Here is a 25,335-nt window from a genome sequence, read left to right as displayed (position 1 = left end):
GCCAAGTTAAGCAAAGGAAAAAAAAGAACATAGTGCTGATTTACAGTGTGATGTTAAGTGGTATTAGAAATCTCTTTCTCAAAAATAAACAGTGGCACAACCAGGGCAGAAGGAAGTGTTAATAGGTACGATTCTCAGGCTAGAGATGCAAGGAAGCGAGAAAAGTGTCTTATTTCCCCCTGTGACAGCTTATATTCTGTTCCAAGCTTCTAGTCTACCATGTTGGAGGAAACAAACTTAGTCAACTCCAGGTCCACTTCCCTTTCCATTGGTCTCTGTCCCTGTCAGTCCGGGTGAACTTAGATAATAGGAAGATGTGCATTTGTCAGGAGAGTGGAGTGGAAGTCAGGTCAGGGGGCAATATGTGCTGATTATATGGATGTGGGTTATGATTCTCTTCCCCCTGATCACCCCCCGCCAGCTATTCTCTTCATGTTTCCTCCATGACCTTAAAGGTCCCTGCTGAGTTGTCCCTCTGTCCTTCTGTAAGGCCCCTCAGATGCAGTGGTTTCTTTGCTACTCCTGCTCCCTTCTTGGGCACAGGAAACTGCACAAGGTGGAGGCCCCTTTTGCCTAGAAGTGCCCCATAGAGTTGCTTCTGAAGGATCTTCATGGCTTCCCAGGAATCTGTGTGGGGAATGCAGATCATGTCATATAAATCTACCTCCTCTCCTTAATTCCCTTGGCCTAAATTGAGGTCAAGAAACAGAGCCCTTTCTTAGGAATCCTGCATAGGTCTCCACAAACACATATGGTGCCTTTGTGGCAATTAGAAAAAAGCACCAGGGCTGGGCGCGGTGGCTCATGCCTGTAATCCCGCCGAGGCGGGCGGATCACGAGGTCAAGAGATCGAGACCATCCTGGCCAACATGTCTCTACTAAAAATAGAGAAATTAGCTGGGCATGGTGGTGTGGGCCTGTAATCCCAGCTACTCGGGAGGCTGAGGCAGGAGAATCGCTTGAATCTGGGAGGCAAAAGCTGCAGTGAGCCAAGATCACATCAGTGCATTCCAGCCTGGTGACAGAGCAAGACTGTCTCAAAAGCAGAAAAAAAAAAAAGAAAAAGGAAAAAAAAGAAAGAGAGAGAGAGAGAAAGGAAGGAAGGAAGGAAGGAAGGAAGGTAGGAAGGAAGGAAGGAAGGAAGGAAGGAAGGAAGGAAGGAAGGAAGGAAAAAAGGGACACCAGAGCTGGATGGTCCCAGCAGAAAATAATGCCCCCTGTGGATGCATATGGCTATGCAGGCTGGTTGGTGAGCAGAAGGACCTTGTGCCAAGAGAATGGCCTCCTTTTCTTGCTGGTGGTGGTTGTTGCAGGAAAGTTGAGAGTTGGAGCCTTGGGGGTGGGAATTGCCATCCCTCACCTAAAATCTCATTGCTTCTCTAATCACAAGGAAGGACATTTTCTCCAAAATCTATGTTTGGGGAATATAGGCATTAGAAGCCCAATACCTAGAAAGAGATGCCTTTTTTCTTTCTTTTTTGCTAATACATCACTTCTCTGAGACCAACAGCCCAGAGTCACCTGGCTGTTGCCTTAATGTGTGTATGTTGTAGGGGGAAGGGGAGATCACTGCTCACATCCTAGGCCTTAGAGGCAGTTGGAATTCTAATCAGGCAAAGAAAAAGGACACAAATATAAACTCTTCCCTTTTCCCTTCATCTGGATCTGAACAGTTTGAAAGGGAATGCAAACAATCTCGGCAGAACCCATCTCAACTTTCAATGCCGGACAAACACAGATTATCCCTGTGATAGGAGGAGCAAACAAGACAAATCAGCACTCACGCAGTCAATAGTTCAAAATAAGGGGACCAGATTAAGCAATTGGCATAGAAGTGTCCTCATGGAGATGGGTAGCTGCGAGAAATGAGACACACCTGGAAACCTAAGCCATTCTAGCAGCTTCTAGGAATTGTTTATAAAATTGTAGCATATTTCATTTGTTTTTCATATATTTTATTGTAAACATAATTAACAATCTTGATCTTCTCAGGAATTACAATTAGCTCCAGCGAGAAAGAAGTGAGTACCTGGCTGTGATTATACCAGATTTTGAGGGAGACTAGGCAGATTCTGCCAAACGTTTATCCCTGTAACTAACTCAGCAGCATATATGGCTTTTTATAAATTCTGGTTGGCACTGGATTAGGTTCAAAGGAGTATGTAGATATCCCAATCTTTTATATATAATATAATAGTTTGTATTTTGAAAGATTAAGAAAATAAAGCTTTCAAACCACTACCTATAAATTATCACTCCCTACTTGTTGAGAGTACCTGTTCATAATGACATTTATACGTTAACAAGCATGTTTTTACACAGACAATGGATGTTTGCCTGTTCTTTGGCTACAATCCTGCACAATCCTATAAAAATCATGCCCAGCTCAAACTTCCGGTAGCATATTTAAGAATTTGTATTAGTGTTGCTCATTCTTTAAGGTGCGTATGAGTCCTTGGGGAACGTATTAAATGCAGATTTTAACTCAGTAGGTCAGAGGTGGGGCTAAGTTTTTGCATTTCTAACAAACATCTGGGTGATATCAAGTCTCCCGGTCCGTGGACCACACTTTTAGTAGCAGGGTTTTATATGGCTGGAAAAAGGACAAAGGTACGGTGCTGGAGACTCCAGGTCATCTCAAATTGGCCTCCTTCCCAATCTTCCCCACTCTAGCTCCAGTGGGCAAGATCTCTTATGGTGCCGGGAAGCAGTCTGTGGGTCTCGGGTTGTCAACATGAACTAGATGGCTAGCGGGTCTGAGATGGTGGTGTGTCAACACTGCTCTGAGTATACGAAGTAGATCCTGCGTCAGGCCTGTTGTGTGTTTGGGAGATTCCGTGTGTTCAGGGCTTAGTTAATTTTGCTCATCACTGGGTCTAAAATAAGCATGGGCTGGGCCAATCTCTGGTTACGTTCGTGTATCTGGGGTGTGGCCATTGTATCCAGTCTCTCAGTCTATTGAGTGTTTAACAAGTCCGGGAGATCAGTGTGTCCAGTGTGTTCCATCTCTCCAGCTTGGTCGAGGCTTTGGGCTTTGCGTTTTTCCTGCACCATGTCATAGTCCTAAAAATGTCGGCAGCTCTCAAAGTCAGGATTTCAGCTAATGAGTAGGCTTTGTAGGTAGCTTCACTAGGCTGGTAGGTCTCTAGCTTGGCTGCTCTGTCTATAGAAGGAGTCACCCTCAGCCTCTTTTGTGTGTGTGTGTGTGTGTGTGTGTGTGTGTGTGTGTGTGTGAGAGAGAGAGAGAGAGAGAGAGAGAGAGAGAGAGGTCTCTCTCTGTTCCCCAGGCTGGAGTGCAATGGCACAATCATGGCTCACTGCAGACTTGACTTCCCAGGCTAAGTGATCCTCCCGCCTCAGCCTCCCAGGTAGCTGAGACCACAGGTGTGTGCCATCATGCCTGCCTATTTTTTTTTTTTTAATTTTTTGTAGAGACAGGGTTTCACCATATGCCCAGGCTAGTCTCAAACTCCAGGGCTCAAGCAATCCACCCGCCTTGGCATCCCAAAATGCTGGGATTATAGGCATGAACCACTGCGCCTGGCCCTCAGCCTCTTAAAAAGAGGAATCCGCCTCTGCTGTCACTCATTATCTACCCCACTGCCACCCCAGATATTCCACAGATGGGGAGCCAGATGCCGGCGTGGGCCAAAGGCCTTTCCCTTTGACCCCCAGCCCCCATCCCACCCACCCAATAAAACAAAGAAGCAAAGAGAAAGAAACAACGCTTTCCTACCTCCAGGCTCATGCATAGTAATGAAAGAGGAAAAGCACAGAACTCTCCCCTAACCTCATTCTCAAACTCTGGGCATCAGTTTTTGCATCAGTGAAATGGGGATAATGATAATTCTCACTTGTAGAGTTGTCGTGAGGGTTAAATAAACAGCATGTTTGTAAGGAATTGAGCTGTGTGTGTAGGGCACAGAGAAAAACAACAAAGAATAATTATCAATTTCTTTTATCTATAAAAACTTTGTAGGGACACATATAAGAACAAGGCCCAGCTGAACCATACAGAAAAATAATTCAGTTTTATCATTTTATAGAGATTGATTATATAATTTCTTCTCCAAACTGGAATACCTTTGAACATTAAATATCATATATTTTACTATTAATATGTGTGGCAGAACAACAGAGGTAAACAGACTATTTCACCAGAATTAATGTCCATTTAATTTATGTATAAATGTTTAAATTCAAAACCCTTTTGTTCATATTTTCGAAACATATTGGAGAGGTCATTGCTTATTCATCAAAACAATCTGAGCTAAGGAAACAATCAGGTAAAAAGCTAATAATGAATTAGAAGCTATCAATAAAATGTCAATAGAATCAGGGAACATAGAACTAGAGAATATAGAAAGTCAAATCAGTGACTGGGAGGAAAAGTTCAACAAGTTCTTTCAGATCTGAGAGACAGGATAACTGGAGAAAATTATTCTAAAAATATAAGAAATGGTGCTAGAACAACTGGACATCCACATGCAAAAAAGTGAATCTAGACACAGATCTTACACTTTTCACAAAAATTGACTCAAAAGGGATCATAGACTTAAGTGTAGAATACAAAACTATAAAACTCTGAGAATAAAACAGGAGAAAATGCAGGTGACCTTAAGTTTCAGAATGACTTTTTAGATACAACACCGGAAACATGATTCATAAAAGAAAACAAAAGATAAGTTGGACCTCATTAAAATTAAAAGCTTCTTCCCTGCAAAAGACAGTTAAAAGGATGGAAAGATAAGCCACACAACAGGAAAAAATCTTTGCAAAACACAAATCAGACAAAGACTGGTATTGAATATATATAAAGAGCTCTTCAAACTCAACAATCAGAAAACAATCCAATTTAAAAAGTGGACAAAAGATTTGAACAAACACCTCACCTAAGAAAATATACAGATGGTAAATGAGCATATAAAAAGATCCACACTATATGTCACTGTGGAATTGCACATTGAAACAACAATGCAACACCACTACACATCTATTAGAATGACCAAATCCAAAACACTGACAACACCAAATGCTGGTGAGAATGTGGAGCAACAGGAGCTCTCATTCGTTGCTGGTGGGAAAGCCAAAATGGTACAATCACTTTGGAAGAAAATTTGACAGTTTCCAACAAAACTAAACATACATTTTACCATATGATCCAGCAATCATGCTCCTTAATATTTACCCAAATGTGTTAAAAACTTACATCCACACAAAAACCTGTACACAAATGTTTACAGCGACTTTATCCACAATTGCCGTTATTTGGGAGCAACCAAGATGTCCTTAAATAGATGAATGGATAAACAAACTGTGATATATCCATAAAATGGAATACCATTGAGCAATAAAAAGACATAATTAATCAAGCTATGAAAAGACATAGAGGAAATAAATCCATATTGCTAAGTGAAAGAAGTGAACCTTACAAAGTCACCAACCTGATACCAAGTATATGACATTCTAGAAAAAGTAAAATTATGGAGACAGTAAGAAGATCAGTGGTTGCTTGGGGTTTGAGGTAGAAGAGAGGAAAGAAGAAATACAGCACAGAGAATTTTTAAGACATTGAAACTCTTATTCTGTAGGTTACTGTAATGATGGATATGTCCTTATACATTTAAGACTCATAGAAAATATAACACAGAGTGAACCCTAAGGTAAACTATAAACTTTAGTTGATAATATTAATGTATTGATATTGCTTTATTGATTGTAACAAATGTGCCATACTAACACCAGATGTTAATATTAGGGAAAATTGAAAGGGGGAAAAGGGGGACATAGGGGAACTCTCTGCCCTTTTCACTCCTTTTTTTCCTGTAAATCTAAAATGGCTAAAAATGAAAAGAAAAGTCTATTAGTTTAAATACACACACACACACATATACATATATATGAAAAAGGGATTGCCTGAAGAGAAAATCAGGAGACCTCATATACACACAAAAAAAGTATTTCCAGGTGGAAAAACCAAGAGGGCAAAGAGAAGCAATAATGAAAGAACTTAAAACATAATTTTCTTTTAATAGGAGAAGGACTTAGATATTTAAATAAAAGAAAAATTAACTTCAGAAAAACAATAAAAATAACTGAATTTGAAGATAAAGAAAAAAATATACTTTTTTTTCACCACAAAAATAAATGCCTGAAAAAGGAAACAATTTCAATATAATTTTGCTGGAAAGAATATGATGCAAGTATTTTATATTAAGTCAGTATTGTTCAATGTGCAAATGTAACAGAGACATTCCTAGATACACTTTGGGACTCAGAAAATGCGCCCATATATGTCAATTGTGAAAAAAAATTATCTGAAAACTTCCTCCTCACTAGAAATATAGCTAAGAATTCAATACTATAAAAACACTGCATAAAAGAAATGGTGATGGATCTTGTAAGCAGTAAAAAATACGTAGGATTTAAATAATCATTGTTACCATGGTCAAGAAGCAACATAAACTAATTCTTGAAAGAGACTACATATAATAAAACATTTACACGTATTCATATTAGTAGTTATAAAAATTTCAATAAAATCCTAAACTAAGAAATTATGCCAGCAAAAAATGCAATAAAACTTGAAAGTTTTGACACAAGTGTACAAATATAAAAATTAAGCCTACTTGGCAATTCAAAATTTCCCTAAATAACCCAGGGCAAAGATTAAAAAGTAATGGCAATTTCAAAATTATGTGTCATAATTAATAGGATGTGGATTAAGCTGTACTCCAAGGTAAATTTATTACCTTAGGTACAATGAGAATCATTGAATTAAGATTTCAACCCAACTCATATTTTAGAAACCTCTACTCTTTATTTGGCTATGACTAATTAATGAGAACAAGCTTGCTTTACGTTTTCTTATTTGCTGTGTAGGTTTTTCCCAATGATGCTAGACTTTGCTCAGCTGCTTGTAGCTATTCTTGTTATTGCTCAAGCTGAGAATCTGGAAGAACCTTGCTTAGATGTTGGTTTTCAAGTGCTGACTCTCCAGTACACGTTGAGGGCCTCTGATATCCTTAATAGAATTGCTTATGGATACGCTCTCAGAAACTGGGGCTTAATGGAGAGTTTGCAGCTTTGCTTCTCCTAGTTCTCCCGATAGTAATTTTATGGAACATGCATTTTAGGTAAGTAAAAGGGGATGAGCTGGCAGGGAGCTAGTGAAGGATGCTTTTCCTTGATGGGACTTAATAACCTGCATAATTCTTTGATGTTTATTCCTTGGAACTGAGTTTGAAAAATCACACCATCATCTCACTTTCTTGTATCATGATGATGTAATGTTGTTTTCTGAGGTCTGCAGACCATGCTGGTCTCTCCCTTATATTACATTGAGCCACAGAGAAGCCACAATGCAGGGGAGGGGTCATGGTAGGGGCTGGTGGGAAGACTCTTACTTTAGGGATGTCAACAAAGGCAACTAGAATTTCTTTGTCGCATTATTGACAAATCAAAAGAGGACCCAAGTCCGTCTGTTAAAGGAGAACAGTATAAATATTAGCAGTATGGACTTGTTTTAGGACTAAATTTTCTTTTTTTTTTGAGACAGGATCTTGCAGTGTCACCCAGGCTGGAGTGCAATGGCATGATCATAGCTCACTGCAGCCTTGACCTCTCACACTCAACTGATCCTCCCAACTCAGCCTCCCAAGTAGCTGGGATGACAGGTGTGTGCCACCATGCCTGGTTAAATGCAACCTAGTCTATTCAAACCTAGGTTGAATTTACATTGATCGATTCATTTATTTGTTCATTTATTCATTTACTCCTTGTATTAGCCTGGGTTCTCCAGAGAAACAGAACCAATAGAATATATATAGAGAGAGAGATATATATAAGAAGAAATTTATTAGGGAATTTTTTTATAGAGATGTAGTTTTGCCATGTTGCCCAATCTGCTCTCGAACTCCAGGGCTCAAGAAATCTGCCCAGTCGGGTGCGGTGGTTCATATCTGTAATCCCAGCACGTTGGGAGGCTGAGGCGGGCGGATCACCTGAGGTGAGGAGTTCAAGACCAGCCTAACCAACATGGAGAAACCCTGACTCTACTAAAAATACAAAATTAGCCGGGCATGGTGGCACATGCCTGTAATCCCAGCTAGGGAGGCTGAGGCAGGAGGATCACTTCATCCCAGGAGGTGGAGGTTGCAGTGAGCCGAGATTGTGCCATTGCACTCCTGCCTGGGCAACAAGAGCAAAACTCCATCTCAAAAAAAAAAAAAAAAAAAAGAGACCTGCCCAACCTGGCATCCCAAAGTGCTATGATTACAGGTTTGAGCCATCATGCCTGGCATAAATTTTTTTAAATGTGTACCAACTAATAGTTTCAAAAAGAGTCATAGCAGGTTTTCTTTGATACAGAGATATATGTCATAAACAGTCATGGAAGCTTCATATTAGTGGTATATCTTACAAAGAAGGGGGACTATTCTACACTTTGGTATTTTGAAAGAAAAATATGTAATATTGTATCTAACTTTTTACTGAAATTGTTTCCAGAATGTCTTCAAAAATATTTATCTCCTGTATTTACAAAGGAGTTATTAAATATGAGAAGCCTGTTAACCAATAGCTTTATCACAAAGTTTTATGTGCTGTATTATAACTTCATCATTTTTATGTGGGAAATGCTTTGAATATAAATTTGTTTTGCCACATTTAAGAAAGCCCTGTCAAGCAAAATTAAGTGAATAATGGATTTGTTACTGAATGAATCTGAGTAATTTATATTAAAAGACAAAAGGACTTCTGCTGATAAAAGTTTTTTAGTTTGTTTATTTGTTTGTTTTAAGACAGAGATTCACTCTTGTCCCCCAGGGTGGAGTGCAATGGTGCAATCTGGGCTCACTGCAACCTCTGCCTCCCGGGTTCAAGTGATTCTCCTGCCTCAGCCTTCCGAGTAGCTGGGATTACAGGCATGCACTACCACACGTGGCTAATTTTTGTATTTTTAATAGAGCGTTTCACCATGTTGGCCGGGCTGGTCTCGAACTCCTGACCTCAGGTGATCAGCCCGCTTCGGCCTCCCAAAGTGCTGGGATGACAGGCGTGAGCCACCGTGCCCGGCTTGATAAAAGTTTTTGAAAATCAGAATTATTATCTTGTTTACCTTCAATCTATTCAGACCTAGGTTGCATTTACATGAGCATTTTTACTCATTGGTTAATTGATTGAATCATTCATTTATTCCTTGTATTAGTCTGGTTTCTCCAGAGAAACAGAACCAATAGGATATATATGTAGAGAGATATATAAGAAGAGATTTATTAGGGAAATTGGTTCATAAGATTATGGAAGCCAAGAAGTCCCATGATACATCATCTGCAAGTTGGAGAATCAGGAAAGCCAATTATGTAAATGAGTGTTGAGTTCAAAGCCCAGAGAACCAGGGAAGCCAATTCTGTAATTTTCAGTCTGAGGTCAAAAGCCTGAGAAGGAGGTGGGGGGCACTGTAAGTTCCAGAGTCCAAAGTTCCAAGAACTTGGAGCTCTGATGTCCACGGGCAGGAGAAGATAGATGTCCCAGCTCTAGAAGAGAAAGCAAATGCATTGCTCCTCCACTGTATTATTCTATCCAGGCCCTTAATGGGTTGAACGATGCCCACCCACATTGGTGAGTGCAATCTTTACTCAGTCCAAGGATTCAAATGCTAATGTCTTCTAGAAACAACCTCACAGACACACCCAGGAATAATATTTTTACTAGTTATCTAGGTATCCCTAACCCAGTCAAGTTGACACATAAAATCAACCATCACATTTCCTTATCAATTCAGCCAATTCATTAATTAAATGCTACACAGTAATCTCCTTAAGAGTTGGAAGCACGTTGTGTTCTTTGCATATACTCAGGTCCTAACCAAAGCTTAGCACACAGTAGGCACTGCTACATACACATACAAGCAGTGGGATACAAGCAGTGCTATGATTAGGGCTAAATCCAGGTGTGTGAGAACATACTGGAGGAATAACTAAAACAGTCCTTGGGTGGTTACACTGAGGGGATCCGAAGGCACATAACAGAAGAAGTCCACACACAAGTAGTAAGGTTTAAGCAAGTGAGGGGGGAAAGGAATGAGGGCAATGGAGAAAGGCATGAGAGCTTGGAGGCACATTTGGAGATACAGGAGAAGTCTCTGATGACTGGGGTGCAGGATAGAAAGTAGGGGGAAAGGAGGGGAGAAATGAATTTGGAAAAGTAAGCAGGGTTCAGATCCTAAAGGGCTTTCTGTGTTTAACAATTTAGCTTTTATTCTCAGAGCAATAGAGAGCCATTGAATATTCTAAATAGGAGAGCAACATGATCAGATTTATTTTCTTTCTTTTTTTTTTTTTGAAATGGAGTCTGACTTTGTTGCCCAGGCTGGAGTGCAATGGCACAATCTCAGCTCACTGCAACCTCCACCTCCTGGGTTCAAGTGATTCTCCTGCCTCAGCCTCCTGAGTAGCTGGACTACCCGTGCCCACCACCACGCCTGGCTAATTTTTGTATTTTTAGTAGACAAGGGGTTTCACCATGTTGGCCAGACTGGTCTTGACCTCCTGACCTCAGGTGATCCACTTGCCTCACCCTCCCAAAGTGCTGGAATTACAGATATGAGCCACCACGCCCGGCCCAATCAGGTTTATTTTCAAGAGACCATTCTACATGCAGAATGAAAAAATAATTTCAAATAACGCAGGAATTGTGACGGGAAAACTAGTTAGGATGCTGCTAAAACAATCCAGGATTAGAGATACTAGTGGCATCAACAAGATTGCTGGCCTTGGACATGGAGAGAAGTGGACAGGTTAGATGGTTCTGGGAGAATTAACAGGGATTGGAATGGATTGGATGTAGGGGGTGCAGAAGAAAAAGGTGTCAGAGATGGAGCCCATGTTCCTGGCATGGACCTTGGTGCAGAATGTGGTTCCGTTCCCTGAGGAGAAGGAACACTGGAGGGATGAAGTCTTGGTAGATGAAGGGAGAGAAGACAGTGCCCTCTGTTTTAGACAGACTTTTTGAAATTGGAGGTGACTGTGGGCTACTTAAATGGTGGTTTCTACCCAGCAATTGGGTGTGCATATCTCAAGTGGGCTGGAATAAAGCCGTGGCAGTGAATGAGGTCACCACTGGTGCCAAAACAGAGACCAGCATGGAAAAGAATGTTTACAGAACAGTCAGCAGAAGAAAAGCCTAGAGACAGAAGAATGTGTTAAATGATACCACAAGGACCTAATCAGCAAAACCCAGAAACTGGAAAGCTCTGCAGAATGAACAAACCATCCCAAAAGGCAGGACCTTTAGATTATATGACAATTAAGAGATATAAAAACCAAAAACAAGGCATGGATCTTGTTTAAACAAACTATAAAAAAAAAACCTTATGAGTAACTATGGAAATTTAAATTTGATGAGGCACTATTTTTCATTTTTTAAGGTATGATAAGGATATTGTGGTTATGTTTTTTACAAAAATGATATCACTTAAAGAAATATTTACAGATAAAATGATGTAATGTCTGGGATTTACTGCAAAATAATCACGTGAAAGCTGTTGCTGGGGGAGTGATTATGGTATAGATGAAACAAGAATGGACACGAGTTGATCATTATTGAAGCTGGTTGATCAGTACATGAGGATTCACTGAACTATTTTCTCTATTTTTTGTTGATATTTGACATTTTCCATATGAATAGTTTAAAAATACAAAGAGAACCTCTGAACACCCCCATGGACAAACCCATGCAATACAACATTTTAACCAAATGAAATCCTATGCAGAAAATATCTCCAAAGTATAGGTTGAAGGATAGCTGTTACGTACACAAGGCTGGAAACCCAAGATCCACACTCTCACTTCCCAGTAACCTCCTTGGCCTGCCTCTTAACTTCCTAGAACTCTAGTTCTTTCTCAGAACACAGCTGGTAAACAAACTGACAAGTGGGTAATGAGTAGCAGACTTGCCAGTGTATACTTTAACCTTTTTCTCACTTCCATAAATCTCACCTGAGAAAATGAGCTATGTCCACATAGCCTATATAGTGATCATTATATTTACCTTGAAATAAAGTCAAGCAACCTGCATGAATTTCTTCAAAGTAGGGTCTATACCCAATAATCACTCTGCAAACATCATCAGTTTCTCTGGAGAAAAACACATTGTATCTTCTGTCACACAGAAGATAATTTATTAAAAGTGTTTTACTTTTAAAAAGTTTAATTTAGGCTGATGTGGTAAATTTAAATGTCTAAAAAAAATAAAAATTTACTGTAAAGATATTCAGAGTGTTTTTGTATGCTCTGCATCCTACGGTTGCGTCTTAGGTAGCCATGATACATTAATCCAAACTAAGAAATTAACATGGTGTAATACTATGAACTGAACTGCAGAATTTATTTGGGGTTTCTCAGTCTTTCCATTAATGTCCTTTTTCTACTCTAGGATTCAATCCAGGATACACCACATTGCACTAAGTTATCACACCTCTTCAGTCACCTCCAATATGGGACAGCTTCATTTCTTGTCTTTCATGACCTTGACACTAAAACAGGCTCATTTAACAATCAATGGAGTAATGCTCTCCTCCAAGATTGCAGGATTCCATGAGAAGTGGAGGGCAGAGACCCCTTACAGTGATATGGTTTGGATCCGTGTCCCCACCCAAATCTCATGTTCAATTGTAACCTCAACCTTGGAGGTGGGGCCTGATGGGAGGTGGTTGGATCATGGGGGCAGTTTCTCATGAATGGTTTAGCACAGGCCCCTCAGTGCAGTTCTCATTGACAGTGAGTGAGTGAGCTATCCTGAGTTCTGGTTGTTTAAAAGTGTGTGGCATCTTCCCACTCTCTCTCTTCCTCCTTCTCCAGCCCTGTGAAGTGCCTCACTCCCACTTTCCCTTCTGCCATGATTGGAAACTTCCTGAGTGCCCCCTCCCTAGAAGCAGAAACTGCTATGCTTCCTGTACAGCTTGAAGAACCGTGAGCCAGTGAAACCTCTTTTCTTTATAAATTACCCAGTCTCAGTTATTTCTTTTTTTTCTTTTCTTTTTTTTTTCTTTTTTTTGCTGGAGTGCAATGGTGCCATCTCTGCTCACTGCAACCTCCACCTCCCGAGTTCAAGTGATTCTCCTGCTTCAGCCTCCTGAGTAGCTGGGACTACAGGTGCCCGCCACCATGCCCAGCTAATTTTTGTGTTTTTAGTAGAGACGGGGTTTCACCATGTTGGCCAGGATGATCTCGATCTCTTGACCTCATGATCCATCCGCCTTGGCCTCCCAAAGTGCTGGGATTACAGGTGTGAGCCACCGCTCCCGGCCCAGTCTCACGTATTTCTATATAGCAATGCAAGAATGGACTAATAGAGATAGTAGTCATTCTAATGAAGAGAATGTTTTAGAAATTGAAACACCCTCTCATCCCTTGATGCTGGAGAGTGGGAGAAATGGGGAGATGCTCAAAGAGTACAAACTTTCAGTTATAAGACAAGTAAGCTCTGGGGATCTAATGTACAGCATGGTGATTATAGTTAATAATACTGTATTGTTTACATGAAGATTGTAAGCGAGCAGATTTTAAGCGACCTCGTCTCTCTCTTTTTCTCTCATACACACACACGTAACTATGGGTGGTAATGGATGTGTTAACTAATTTGTGGTAGTCAGCACACAATGTATATGCATACCAAATCATCACATTGTACACCTTGAATATATATAATATTTTGTCAATTAAATATTTTAAAATTAAAATAAAGCCAGGGCTGCTAAATCACTCACACTACAACCAAAGTTTATTTAGAAGTCACTACAACAAAATACGAAACAAACCTGACTTAGCTAATGAGAGCTACTGCTTTATTTATTGATGCATCTGCTTTATGGTCTAGAATGGAATTTTGATAAATATATGCTCTGGTAGACATATTCAGAACTCAAGTATTTCATATCTGGGTTGCTGCCTTCCTGCCAAGGCTTAGCACTCTTCATCTCCTTCAGGGTCCCCAGGAAGGCAGAATGCACCCATCACTACTTAGAGTCTTTCTTGCCTTGGGCACTTTCTCCACAAATACCAAAACGTATACATCAAGTGTGAGCAGGTCAGCCTGCTCTCTGCCATCTCTGTTAGTTTTATTTTCATCCACAAATTTAAAGATAAACCATCAAATTGGAAATCACCATACTCAAATGCAAATACAGTGAAGTCTCATTAATTTAGACTCTACTAAATGAATGAGTCTATGATTGTTCATAAATGGTAAAATGCCTCAGTGAAAAATTGGACATATGTCTTATGAATTTTCAGTTTGCTTAGGGGTAAAGTAAATCTATTCAGATGTCAGCAGCTGTTTCTTTTTTCTTTTTTTTTTTTTTTGAGACAGAGTCTCACTCTGTCGCCCAGGCTGGAGTGCAGTGGCAGGATCTCGGCTCACTGCAAGCTCCACCTCCCGGGTTCACGCCATTCTCCTGCCTCAGCCTCCCGAGTAGCTGGGACTACAGGTGCCCACCACCACGCCCAGCTAATTTTTTGTATTTTTAGTAGAGATGGGTTTTCACCATGTTAGCCAGGATGGTCTCAATCTCCTGACCTCGTGATCCACCCGTCTTGGCCTCCCAAAGTGCTGGGATTACAGCTGTCAGCAGCTATTTCAAAAGAAGGACCGATCTAACGAATTTAAAGATTTGTCTTGTATACTTTAGGACCCAGTGATTTTTGTGTGGTGAAGGATTCTAACATTTGATGCATTATGATATGATAGAACAATTTGTTACTTGGTTGATAATAGGTGCCATCCTTGAAAATAGTAGGATTACCTTAAAACTGATGTGTCATTTAGGATTTTTACTGTCAATGTTCTCCTCAACTGTATTACAAACTTCTTATATTTAAGGATCATGCATTTTGTACGTTTTTGTATCCCTATGCCCTCTCAGTCTCTGTCTCATCATGGGGCACAGAAAAGTCCTATACATAGAACACCTTTAATAAAAGGTTTTCTTTAAATATTGTGGGACTTGATTATTCTGAACATGTGGATTCAACCAGTTTAAAGCAGCCAGATGTGTTTCTGTTAGCTCCTTATCTAGATTTTTAAAATCTCTCACTAAATTTCTTGCTTTATACATTTCAGTGTGAGTATGGCATCAGGATGATTTGACTGCAAGCAACAGAAAAATCAAACAAAAATGGCCTAAGCCAAGAAGAGAAATGATTATTTCACATTCCAAGAAGTTTGGGAGTCGAGTGGTTAAACGGCTAATTAATCTAGAGCTCAACAGTATCACCCAGGACCCATTTTCACTATGGTGGCTAAAGCTCTGCACCCTTCAGGCTTGCACCATGGCAGCAGCAGTGACAGTAAAGACACCCTTACACCACAATGCTCCATGACCAGGGAGAGGGTCTCCTCTCTCCTGCCCCTTTCTGGAGGCTCCACCGAAGATTTCTCTTCACATTCCGTTTCTCATTCCTGAAGCAGTTGCTGGCAACAGGGATGGACTTACCGCAATGGGTACAGAGCAACTAAGATTCACCACTAGGTGAGTCCTTTGGAAAACACTTGGCCATCCAATATATAAACAAATCTGGTACTCCTGTCAGGAAAGAGGTAGGTAATTCCCAACAGCCAATAGTGTCTGCCACAAGTGAAATATCTCATCAGAGAAAACTGAGTAGGTAATACATGATTCTGTGTTTTCTCTGTTTTCTGCCTTTGCTTTTTCCATTTGGTAAGACTCACCTGTGTTCCTCTTTGTGGCTCTTTCTCCTTGATAATACAACCCTGGTTTAGTTCAGATACAGGTGGCAATAGGCCAGAATTTGTCCTAGGAGACAAATTCGTGATGAGCCTCGCAAAGTCATGACAATCCCAATTCCATTTGCCAGTGAACCATTTAGGGATGGCCACGTGACTCAGTTCTGGTCACCAAGGTGGTGGAAGAGAAGTTCTCTTGAGGGGCATCTGGGAAAGATTCTTCTGCCTGATAAAACAGGAGGTAAGCAAGGGTTCTGCTCCCCCATTTGTTTCTGCCTTTGAACGTGGCTGTGGGAAGACATGATGCTTAGTGTTGCTGCAGCTATCTCATGACCTTGGGCAAAACATCCCAACACACAGGAGGGCCAAACAAGCAGTCAGAAGAAGCCTGAGTCTTGTGGGTGTTGTTGAGCAGCTGAACAAACCCTAGGATGGCTTCCTTCCAGACTTCTTAGGATTGCGAACAATGAAGCTCTATTGTTTAAGCAAGGTATCGATGGCTATTTTCACTTGCCACTGAAAGCACCAGGACAGAGAATCGTCTTTCTAGGAATACAGCCACAAAAGCCTTCATTATGGTATATGCACATAAAGAATATAAAAGTTTCCTTTATGTTTCTCTTTAAAATATAGCTGAAGTCTGCCTCAGGCAAAAAGACAAACAGAAAACATAAATGCATACATAATTCAAGAACAATAAATATTTATTTTAAAATGAATAAATGTTCTGCAGGATATTGTAATAGTTTTCTCAGGGAATATATTTTTCTAATACTTATATCAACTAACAGTATTTCTGTGGCATCTCCAGGTCCTCTGTGTTTAAGTCCTCCCTAGAAACTGCATTTCTCTCCTTTTTCCTGCTACTTTGGATCTCAAATGTGCCTAAAAAGAAATACTTTTAACTTCTCTGGTTTTTCTTTTTTCAAATATTAACTTGTAACTTGCAGTTGTAACATGGTTGTTGCTAGCTAGCTGTCAAGTATTTGTCCAAAAATGTGTTCCTAGAATACCTTCATCTTACAGTCACTCAATCCATAATAGAGTTTAAACATTTTTCCATAATATTTCACAGAATATTCATGTTTTTACATAAAAAACACTTTTAATATATGAACTATCTGCAACACACAGCAAAATCCCAGTTATATGACATCAATAGCCATATACTAAAATACACCTAACAATATTCATATTAAACTCAAATTTAATATATGTTAATATGTAGGCATATTTACTTATACATAAAGCTGTAGATTTCTCTCTATCCTTCCCCCGTACTTCCCAGAGGTAACCATTGTATTGATGATGATGTTGATGACAGCAACAATGATGATGATAATGATGGTAATAAAAACCGCAAATTTGCTGTATGCCAGGCAGTATTCTAAGCACTTTACATACATTAACTCCTTAAATGTCCACCGCAGACATATGACATAGATACTATTATTATCCTTCATTTTATAGATGAGAGGTTGAGAAAAAAATTGGTTAAGCAGCTTGTCCAAGGCCACACAGCTGGTGTGCCAGGATTCCAACACAGGCAATCTGGCCCTGGAGCCCTTTGCCGTATCCCATTGCTATATGGATATTGCTGTGTATCATTATATACTTTCTCTAAACATGTATGCAACCATAAAAAGCTATACATAGGATTTCTCTCCTTTTTAAAAAGTATATAATCTTATAACATTTATGGGGTCTTTTTCCAGTTATTTTGCTATTATGAAAAATGTTGCAATGAATAGTCTTGAATATACATCCTTGTGCATTTACTCTCTGGTAAACATCTAGAAGCCAAATTTCTGCTTGGTAGATTACTCATATTAACATTTTTTTTTTAGTTATTCCAAAATTGCTCTTCAAAGTAATTGTACCAATTTGCAGTTCTGCCAGCACTGTATAAGTTTTCCATTTCTCGCTAACTCCATCAATTCTTTGTATCATTGAGTTCGCTGATTTTTGCTAATCTGACTGATGTGAGGTGGTATTTCATTATTCTCATTTGCACTCTTCTTTGATTGCTAGAGAGGTAAGAGCATCTTTTCATATGCTTGTTATCTATTTATGCTTATTTTTTTCTTGGATTTTCATTTTGTCTGATTTTAAACGAATTCTATGACATTCTGCTGAATAAAGTGAGTTACATAGGTTGTAAACACCTTCCCATGGTAGCTATTGACCTTCTTTTTGTTGTCATCTTGATACATGGAAGTATTTAGTTTAATGTAGTTACATTCTCAATACTTTCTTTTCTCAATATGGTTTATGCTTTTAGCATTATAAGTAATATGGCAGTACTCAGATGTCATCAAGATATTCTTCTATATATTCTTTTTAAATTTAGCTTTTCACATTTAGGCAACTTTGAGTATGCTATGAAGTAGTACCCAATTTTACCGTCTTTCATATAAATACTTGAATCTATCTTTTTCTATATGGTGATGTCTCAGCATCATTTAATGAAGACTCTCATTCTTTGCCCAGTGATTTGTGATGTTATCTCTGTCATATTCCACATTTACATATCTAAGTGGTTTTATTCGTACGCTCTCTATTCCCTGTGGCAATATCACATTGTTTAGTATAGTTTTACATGATAATGTAGTATCAATATTCAAAAGGATAACCACCCTGCTTTTTTCTTTTCCTCCTTCTCTGCCTCCTTCTCCTCCTTCTTCTTTGCAATTGTCTAGCCTATTCTTGAATTTTTATTCTTTCATATGCATTTAAGAATCATCTTGTCAAGTTCTTCGAAAAACCCTACTGAAATTTTTATTGAAATTGTATTGAATTTATATGTGAATTTGGGAAAAATTGTCTTTTTTTTTTTTTTGACGGAGTCTCGCTCTGTCACCCAGGCTGGAGTGCAGTGGTACAATCTCAGCTCACGGCAAACTCGGCCTTCTAGATTCACGCCATTCTCCTGCCTCAGCCTCCCAAGTAGCTGGGACTACAGGCACCCACCACCTGGCCTGGCTAATTTTTTTTGTATTTTTAGTAGAGACGGGGTTTCACCATGTTAGCCAGGATGCTCTCGATCTCCTGACGTCGTGATCCGCCAGCCTCGGCCTCCCAAAGTGCTGGGATTACAGGCGTGAGCCACAGCGCCCGGCCAATTTCACAAATAGATTTTTTTTCTTACTGTAAATCTTAGCAAGCTCAGCATACGAATTTTTTTTTCCTTAAATTGAAAGCTTTTACCCTTTCACTTAAAGGCAGCACTTTATGGCTTCTCTTGGGCATATCCAAATTGCTACCATCACTACTCGTATTAGTCCATTTTCACGCTGCTGATAAAGACATACCTGAGACTGAGAAATTTACCAAATAAAGAGGTGTACTGGACTTACAGTTCCACATGGCTGGGGAGGCCTCACAATCATGGTGGAAGGCAAGAAGGAGCAAGTCATGTCTTACATGGATGGCAGCTGGCAAAGAGAAAGCTTGTACAGGGAGACTCCCGTTTTGAAAACCATCAGATCTTGTGAGACTCATTCACTATTACAAGAACAGTGCAGGAAAGATGCACCCCTGTACTTCAATCACCTCCCAGCAGGTTCCTCCCACGACATGTGGGAATTGTGGGAGTTACAATTCAAGATGAGATTTGGTTGGGGACACAGCCAAACCATATCACTACTCTTGTGCTTTGGGGCCATTATGAAGTAAAACAAGCATTATTTGAACACAAGAACTGCAATACCACCACAGTAGATCTGATAACTGTTGGCTACTAAGTGACTAAGGGGCAGGTGAAGTATACAGCTTGGATGCGATGGACAAAGAGGAAGATCTACCTCCCAGCTGGGATGGAGCAGGACGATGCAAGATTTCATCACACTACTCAGAAAGGCATGCAGTTTAAAGCTCGTAAATTATTTCAGGAATTTTCCATTTAATATTTTCAGGCTGTGGCTGACCGTGAGTAACAAACCCAGGAAAGCGAAACTGCAGAACAGTGGATGGGAGAAAGGGTGAATTACTGTATATTCATGAGGGATATTAGTCCATAGTTTCTTTTTTCCCTTTTAACAAATTTTTGGGTTTTGTATATAGTTTGTCTGGTTTTGGTATCAGGGTAATACTAGCTTCATAAAATGAATTGGAAAGCGTTTCTTCTGTTTTCCTAAAAAGATTATATGGAATTAGCATTCATTCTTTAAACACTTGGTAGAAATCTTAAGTAAAACCATCTGAGCTCGGAGATTTTTTTGTGTGTGTTATAAAATTACATATTCAGTTTCCTTAATATTTATAAGATCATTTTAATTATCTGTGTTTTTCAGTGAAACGGGTCAATTTTCTGTATGTTGTCAAATTAATATTTGTAGAATTGTATTAGTATTCTTCATTATCCTTTTGATGTCTGCAGAATCTGTAATGGTATCCCTGTTTTATTTCTGATATTAATTTGTGCCATTATGTCTTTTTTTCTTTGTTGATCTTGTCAGAAGTTTGTCAATTTTATCAATTTGTTCCAAGAACCAGCTCATTGATTTGGTTTCAGTTTCATTGATTTCTACTTTTATCTTTATTATTTCCTTCTTTTTCTTGCTTTTGGTATATTTTGTGCTTCTTTTTCTAGGTTCTAGAGGTGGAAGCATACGTTATTGATTTGAGACCTTTCCTCTTTTCTAATGTGAGCATTTTAGTTACATTTAGTTCCCTCCTAGGACTACTTTAATTGGATTATTGAGAGGTGTTGAAGTCTCCAACTGTATTTGTGGATTTATTTATTTTTCCTTTCAGTTCTATTAGTTTTAGCTTCACATTATTTTGCAGCTCTGATGTTTAAAGGTGCATGAACATTTAGGCTCACTATGTCTCAGTGAATTGACCCTTTTATCATTACGTAATATTCCTCTCAGTCTCTGGTCATTTTCTTTGTGCTGAAATATACTTTATCTGATAATATAATGACTGTTCCCTGTAGATTAATATTTTCAGGATGTATCATTTTTATTTTTTTATTTTCAACCTGCCTGTAATCATTATATTTGCAGTGAATTTTTTCTAGACACTGTATAGTTGAATCATTTAAAAAAGTCTGCTCTGGCAATGTGTCTTTTAATTGGTGTATTTAGATCATTACATTTAATATATTTACTGATATGTTAGGGCATAATAATTTTTTGTTTTCTGTTTGTGTCTCTGCTTATTATTTCTGTTTTCTTTTTCCTGCTTCCTTTGGGTTGTTTGGACATTTCCTTTAGAATTATATTTCAATTTATATATAGTTTTTTTTTTAAAAGAGTATCTCTTCATATAGATTTTTTTAGTGGTTATAACCAGCTGATGCTGCTGGTTCGAGAGCCCTTTGGCTGAGAAAGCAGATAGCTCACCAGCCCGGCAGCCTGGGTCTCCAGGTAGTATCAGGTCAGGCCAACGACACTGAGACATTTGTCCACCCTGAGAGGACTCTGAGCACCTGTGGCTGAGGCCAAAGGACCACAGGGCTAAGGATGGGGAGAGTCCAACTCCAGTCGATATGCATACCTTGGCAAGCTTCTCACTACAGCCCACTGTTCATGGAGAAGCTGGGCCTTGCAGATCGACCAGAAACCCCCACGATATGCCACTTTCTGCCCCTATGTCCTGCGTGTCCTGGGCATTGGCCCTGTCTCCCTTGGCAAACACAGAACACTGTTCCATCTCAGAGATTGCTTCACCAGAGAAACAGATGCATTTATGGTACTGTAAGTACTATAGTATATGTGTTGCCAATTACTGTAAAGTCGTAAGTATTTATAATTCTGGTTCTGATTTGATGGGCACTTGAGGTAGCTGTGGGTGGGAGGGTATGCTTATTGTCTGAGGAGACTCACAACCATTTCTCAGGTTTCCCTTGCAGAGTGTGTGCCGTTACCAGTGGGATAGTGGGTGTGCCAAGGAGAAAAATGGCCAGTTAGAAAAAAATCCCAAGACTAGTCTATGCAGAATCTCTCGCCTACAGACAGGGCATTAATAGCCCAGTGGTGGGTGAGCGGCAGAGGCCAGGACTGGACTCAGACTTTTGCCTCACAAAGCTGTGAGGACTCTGAAGGTCCTGCCCCTGCCTCACACAGCCTCGCCAGGAGTCTGCTGAGCACCTTTGAAACAAGAGCAGGGAAAAGATGAAGGTCTGGGAAGCCACTGAGCTCACAATATTCATCTACACTGGTCACCTTTGTGTTAGAGAGTGTGTGTATCTGTATGACTGAGTACATGTGTCTATGTGCATAGATATATCTGCGCGTGCCTGTCTGTATGTGCACATTATACGTTGATGTGTACGTATGTCAGTTCTATGGCTGTGTACCTGGGTGGATATGTGCACACTGGAATGTGGGTCCCTGTGTGAGGTTGTAACATTTGCTTGCATGTGAGGATGCATATCTATGTGTAAATGCTCTCATGTCTTGCATGTTTAGTGTGTGTGTATCTGGGCACACATGAGTGCATGTGTAGAGATACGTGTCTGTGTGTATGCTTGCTCTCCATGCATCTGTGTTTTTATATGTGTAACTGAGTATATTTCTACATGTGGGGGTGACTGCGTGTTCTTCTTTGAGGATCTGCATGAATGTGTCCTTTTTGCGAGATTTCTCTTCCCATTCATCTTACATCTCTCTCACTAGTTAAATGTTCCCCATCTCTGTGCCTCCTCTATTCATTCTCTCTCACCAAATGAGCTTCTAAGCACCAGTCTCCCTCTGCCATCAAGATTGGCTGTTTTCACTGCACAGTTCTCTTCTCACCCCGTACTTGCTTTCTTCCCCTGCCTTTCTCTGCCTGCTTTTGTCACAGTCTCATTGCTTGCTGACTTGGAGGCTAGGGCTGGTCTTCACTTAGCCTCTCCCTTCCTAATTTCTAGCCCCAGTGGGCAACCCTGTCTTAGCCCTGGCTGACCTCCACAGTGAATCATCATGTTCCTGCTACTTTCCTGACCCCTATACTCAGCCTGGAATTATTGTAGGAGATAGCAAGAGCATTCAGAAGAGTCAGTTGGTTACCAGTGCCTTGGTGTTTACTCTTTTATGTCTTAGTTCCTTAGCTGGGGGTGGGGTTTGATAGGGAAGGGGTGGTATAGCTAGAATGCAAACTAAGAACTTCTCCATCTGCTTTCCTTTTTCTTTCGTTGACAAAATGTCACCTTTTCTACTCCAAACTGACCAAGAAGTTGTATTTGCCGTTTGTGGCTACTCACGTCCTACTGCCCAGCCAAGGGACCCTATAACATCTCAGTCCAATGAGTTGGTTGAAAAGAAGAGAGGGAGAGAGGTCACTCTCATTTTCGTATCACAATTGCCCTTCTTTTTAGCAAGTGTATGAACTCACAGTGCTTTTCTATGAATAAACCATGGATCACATGAAAAATCATTTTTCTTAAAGAAAAAAAATTCCCTAAACCCAGAGGGGACCAGCAAATACTTAACAGGAGATTAGAGATTTCCTGTGAGTGCATATGGTGCGGGGTGACCTGATTCTGTGAAGCAAATGTTATTGTCCTCCTTAAATTCATGTGTTGAATTCTAATTCTATGTGATGGTATTTGGAGGTGGGGCCTTGGCAGGTGATTCAGTTCATGAAGGCAGGGACCTCATGAATGGAATTGGTGCCCCTTCAAAGGGACTGCAGAGAGCTCCCTCATCCCTTCTGTCATGTAAAGACACAGTAAAAAAGGTGGCTGTCTATGAACCAGGAAGTCAGCCCCACGGAATCCGCTGACAATTTGACCTTGGATTTTACCATCTCCAGAACTGTGAGAAATCAATTTTCTACGCTACCTAGTCTATGGCATTCTGTTTTGACACCCAGATTAGCTAAAGTAGCAGCATATCAACTTGCACACATAATTCTTGGAAACTCTGATGCCAAATCCTTGATGGCAAAAGGTGAATGATCTGCCGGAGACATGAGCCTACATCATCCCTCTTTCCACAGTAAACCAGAGAGTCAAAACAGGCAAGAGTAGGTCAAGGTCTTCTAAAAGCCATACCTGAAAGGTTTCCAATAACAGATGACTCGATGGTAATTCAGCCACACAAACAACCACAACAAAAGACACAACTATCAGAGATTTTCAGGATAGCCTCAAAAACACCATCTAACATTAGGGAGTTCAAAAAGGCATGAAGTTTCAGAAATCAAACTTTATTGTAATCTCGTTTCATCAACTTGTAATTCTAACACTATTAATAAATGGTAGGGCAGGTGGTGGCATGGAGAGCCTGGGGCACAACGGCTGTCGTTAAAAGCTTTGTTTGCTTTACCCTTTGGAGCCACCTCCTGGTCCCCTCACCCACTGCCCGCCTGTTAAGGGCCTGTCCCGGGCAGCACATTAGGGGCAAACAGCCTGGATGCCCAGCTGTGGACCCGCATCCATGCCTGGAGGAGGAGGTTGCCTCTGGGAGCAGGCGTAGCTGCTGGAACTCTTCCTCCCAGCCTTCTTTTAATGCTCTCCGGCACCTCCTGCACACAGATAAACCAAGATCAGGAGAATAAACGGACCTGCAGCAGCAGGACTGTGGTTCTAGTGAATGAGAGAAGCCTCTCTGCAGCGAGGTACAGGAGGCCAGGCCAAATGCCCTGCTCTCTGCCTGCATGTTTGCCACCGTGCCCAGGACTAGGGGCAGCATGGGAGCTGCTGGCTGGGGCTGTGCTGGTCACCCCCTCCCTCCCACTTTTCTCTCCAGCCACGCTTTCAGTTCCAGGGTTAGGGCCAGTGGCTACAGTACGTGCCGTGATTTCAGGCAGCTCCTCATTGGTCTGGTCCTTGGCTGGAGCTCCCTCCAGCTCCAGTGCTCTCTCTGGAGGGGCCTCTTCCCATGCTGGCTCTGGCTCCGCCGCTGGTGCTGGCAGTGCTCTTACTTCTGCACATGGACCAGGAGCTGAGAAAGGAGAAAGGGTCACCAGCATCAGTCACTTTCCACTGGAATTTCCAAACACAGAAACGACCTCACTGAATTTAAGGGAATTCCAGCCCAAAAGCACCGCCCCTGCAAAGTCTTCCAGGCTGCAGGCCACCTCACCACGTGTCTGTGCCTCAATGAGCTCCTGAATCTCCTGGACAAGGACAGTGTGCAGCTGCAGCCCCAATGGGATCTCTGGTGTGGCCTGGCCTGCTAGGGCCTGCCCCAGGCTGTCCTGTGGTACCTGGATGCGCCTTATTACAACGGGCGACAGGCGTCTGGGGTGAGGGATGAGCCTTCTTCGGCATCGTCAGAAAAGGCTCTCACTCCCTCCGTTCCTGAAGCAGCAACCTCTCAAAGTGGAGAAGCAACACGAGAACATCTTGCTCTCTTGAGCGTCTCCCACCAAGTGAGCTGTTTACGGCGCTGACTCTAGGATATGGGTGCCTGGTTACCAGAGTTCTAAGTTCTGTTCGTGTGGTCATCATCCAGGAAGTGACGTCGCTTCTTTACGGTTCTGTTCCCTAGACCCCTTCCTTCCATAAGACCTACTCCAGGACTCCACTGGGCTGCTGACTACTCACCCTCCCCCCACGTCAACTCCTTACCTGTACACTGTTATGTCCACCCAAGGTCTGCTTGGACACCTGTGCCTGATGTTCACCAGGGGCCGGATGTCCTCAGGCCTGATGTC

General features: G+C 40.8%; 1 long non-coding RNA gene and 1 pseudogene across 2 annotated transcripts in view; one reads left to right on the top strand and one right to left on the bottom strand.

The window, feature by feature from the left end:
* Positions 1-20,245, top strand: part of COX10-DT (COX10 divergent transcript) — a 40,167-nt gene extending 19,922 nt beyond the window's left edge. The window contains exons 2-3 of the long non-coding RNA NR_049718.1: positions 15,121-15,597; positions 18,966-20,245. This is a non-coding gene — a long non-coding RNA (COX10 divergent transcript). The remainder of the gene's footprint in view (positions 1-15,120; positions 15,598-18,965) is intronic.
* A 3,693-nt stretch (positions 20,246-23,938) lies between these two features.
* Positions 23,939-25,039, bottom strand: CDRT15P1 (CDRT15 pseudogene 1; annotated as a pseudogene). The gene has a single exon (NR_003261.1). The product of NR_003261.1 is annotated as a CDRT15 pseudogene 1 (transcript).
* Between the last annotated feature and the right edge of the window lie 296 nt (positions 25,040-25,335).

This window comes from Homo sapiens, chromosome 17, assembly GCF_000001405.40.
Source record: "Homo sapiens chromosome 17, GRCh38.p14 Primary Assembly".
NCBI lineage: Eukaryota > Metazoa > Chordata > Mammalia > Primates > Hominidae > Homo > Homo sapiens.
Note: the sequence above shows the minus strand (reverse complement) of the source record. Positions and strands in the feature narration are given on the sequence as shown.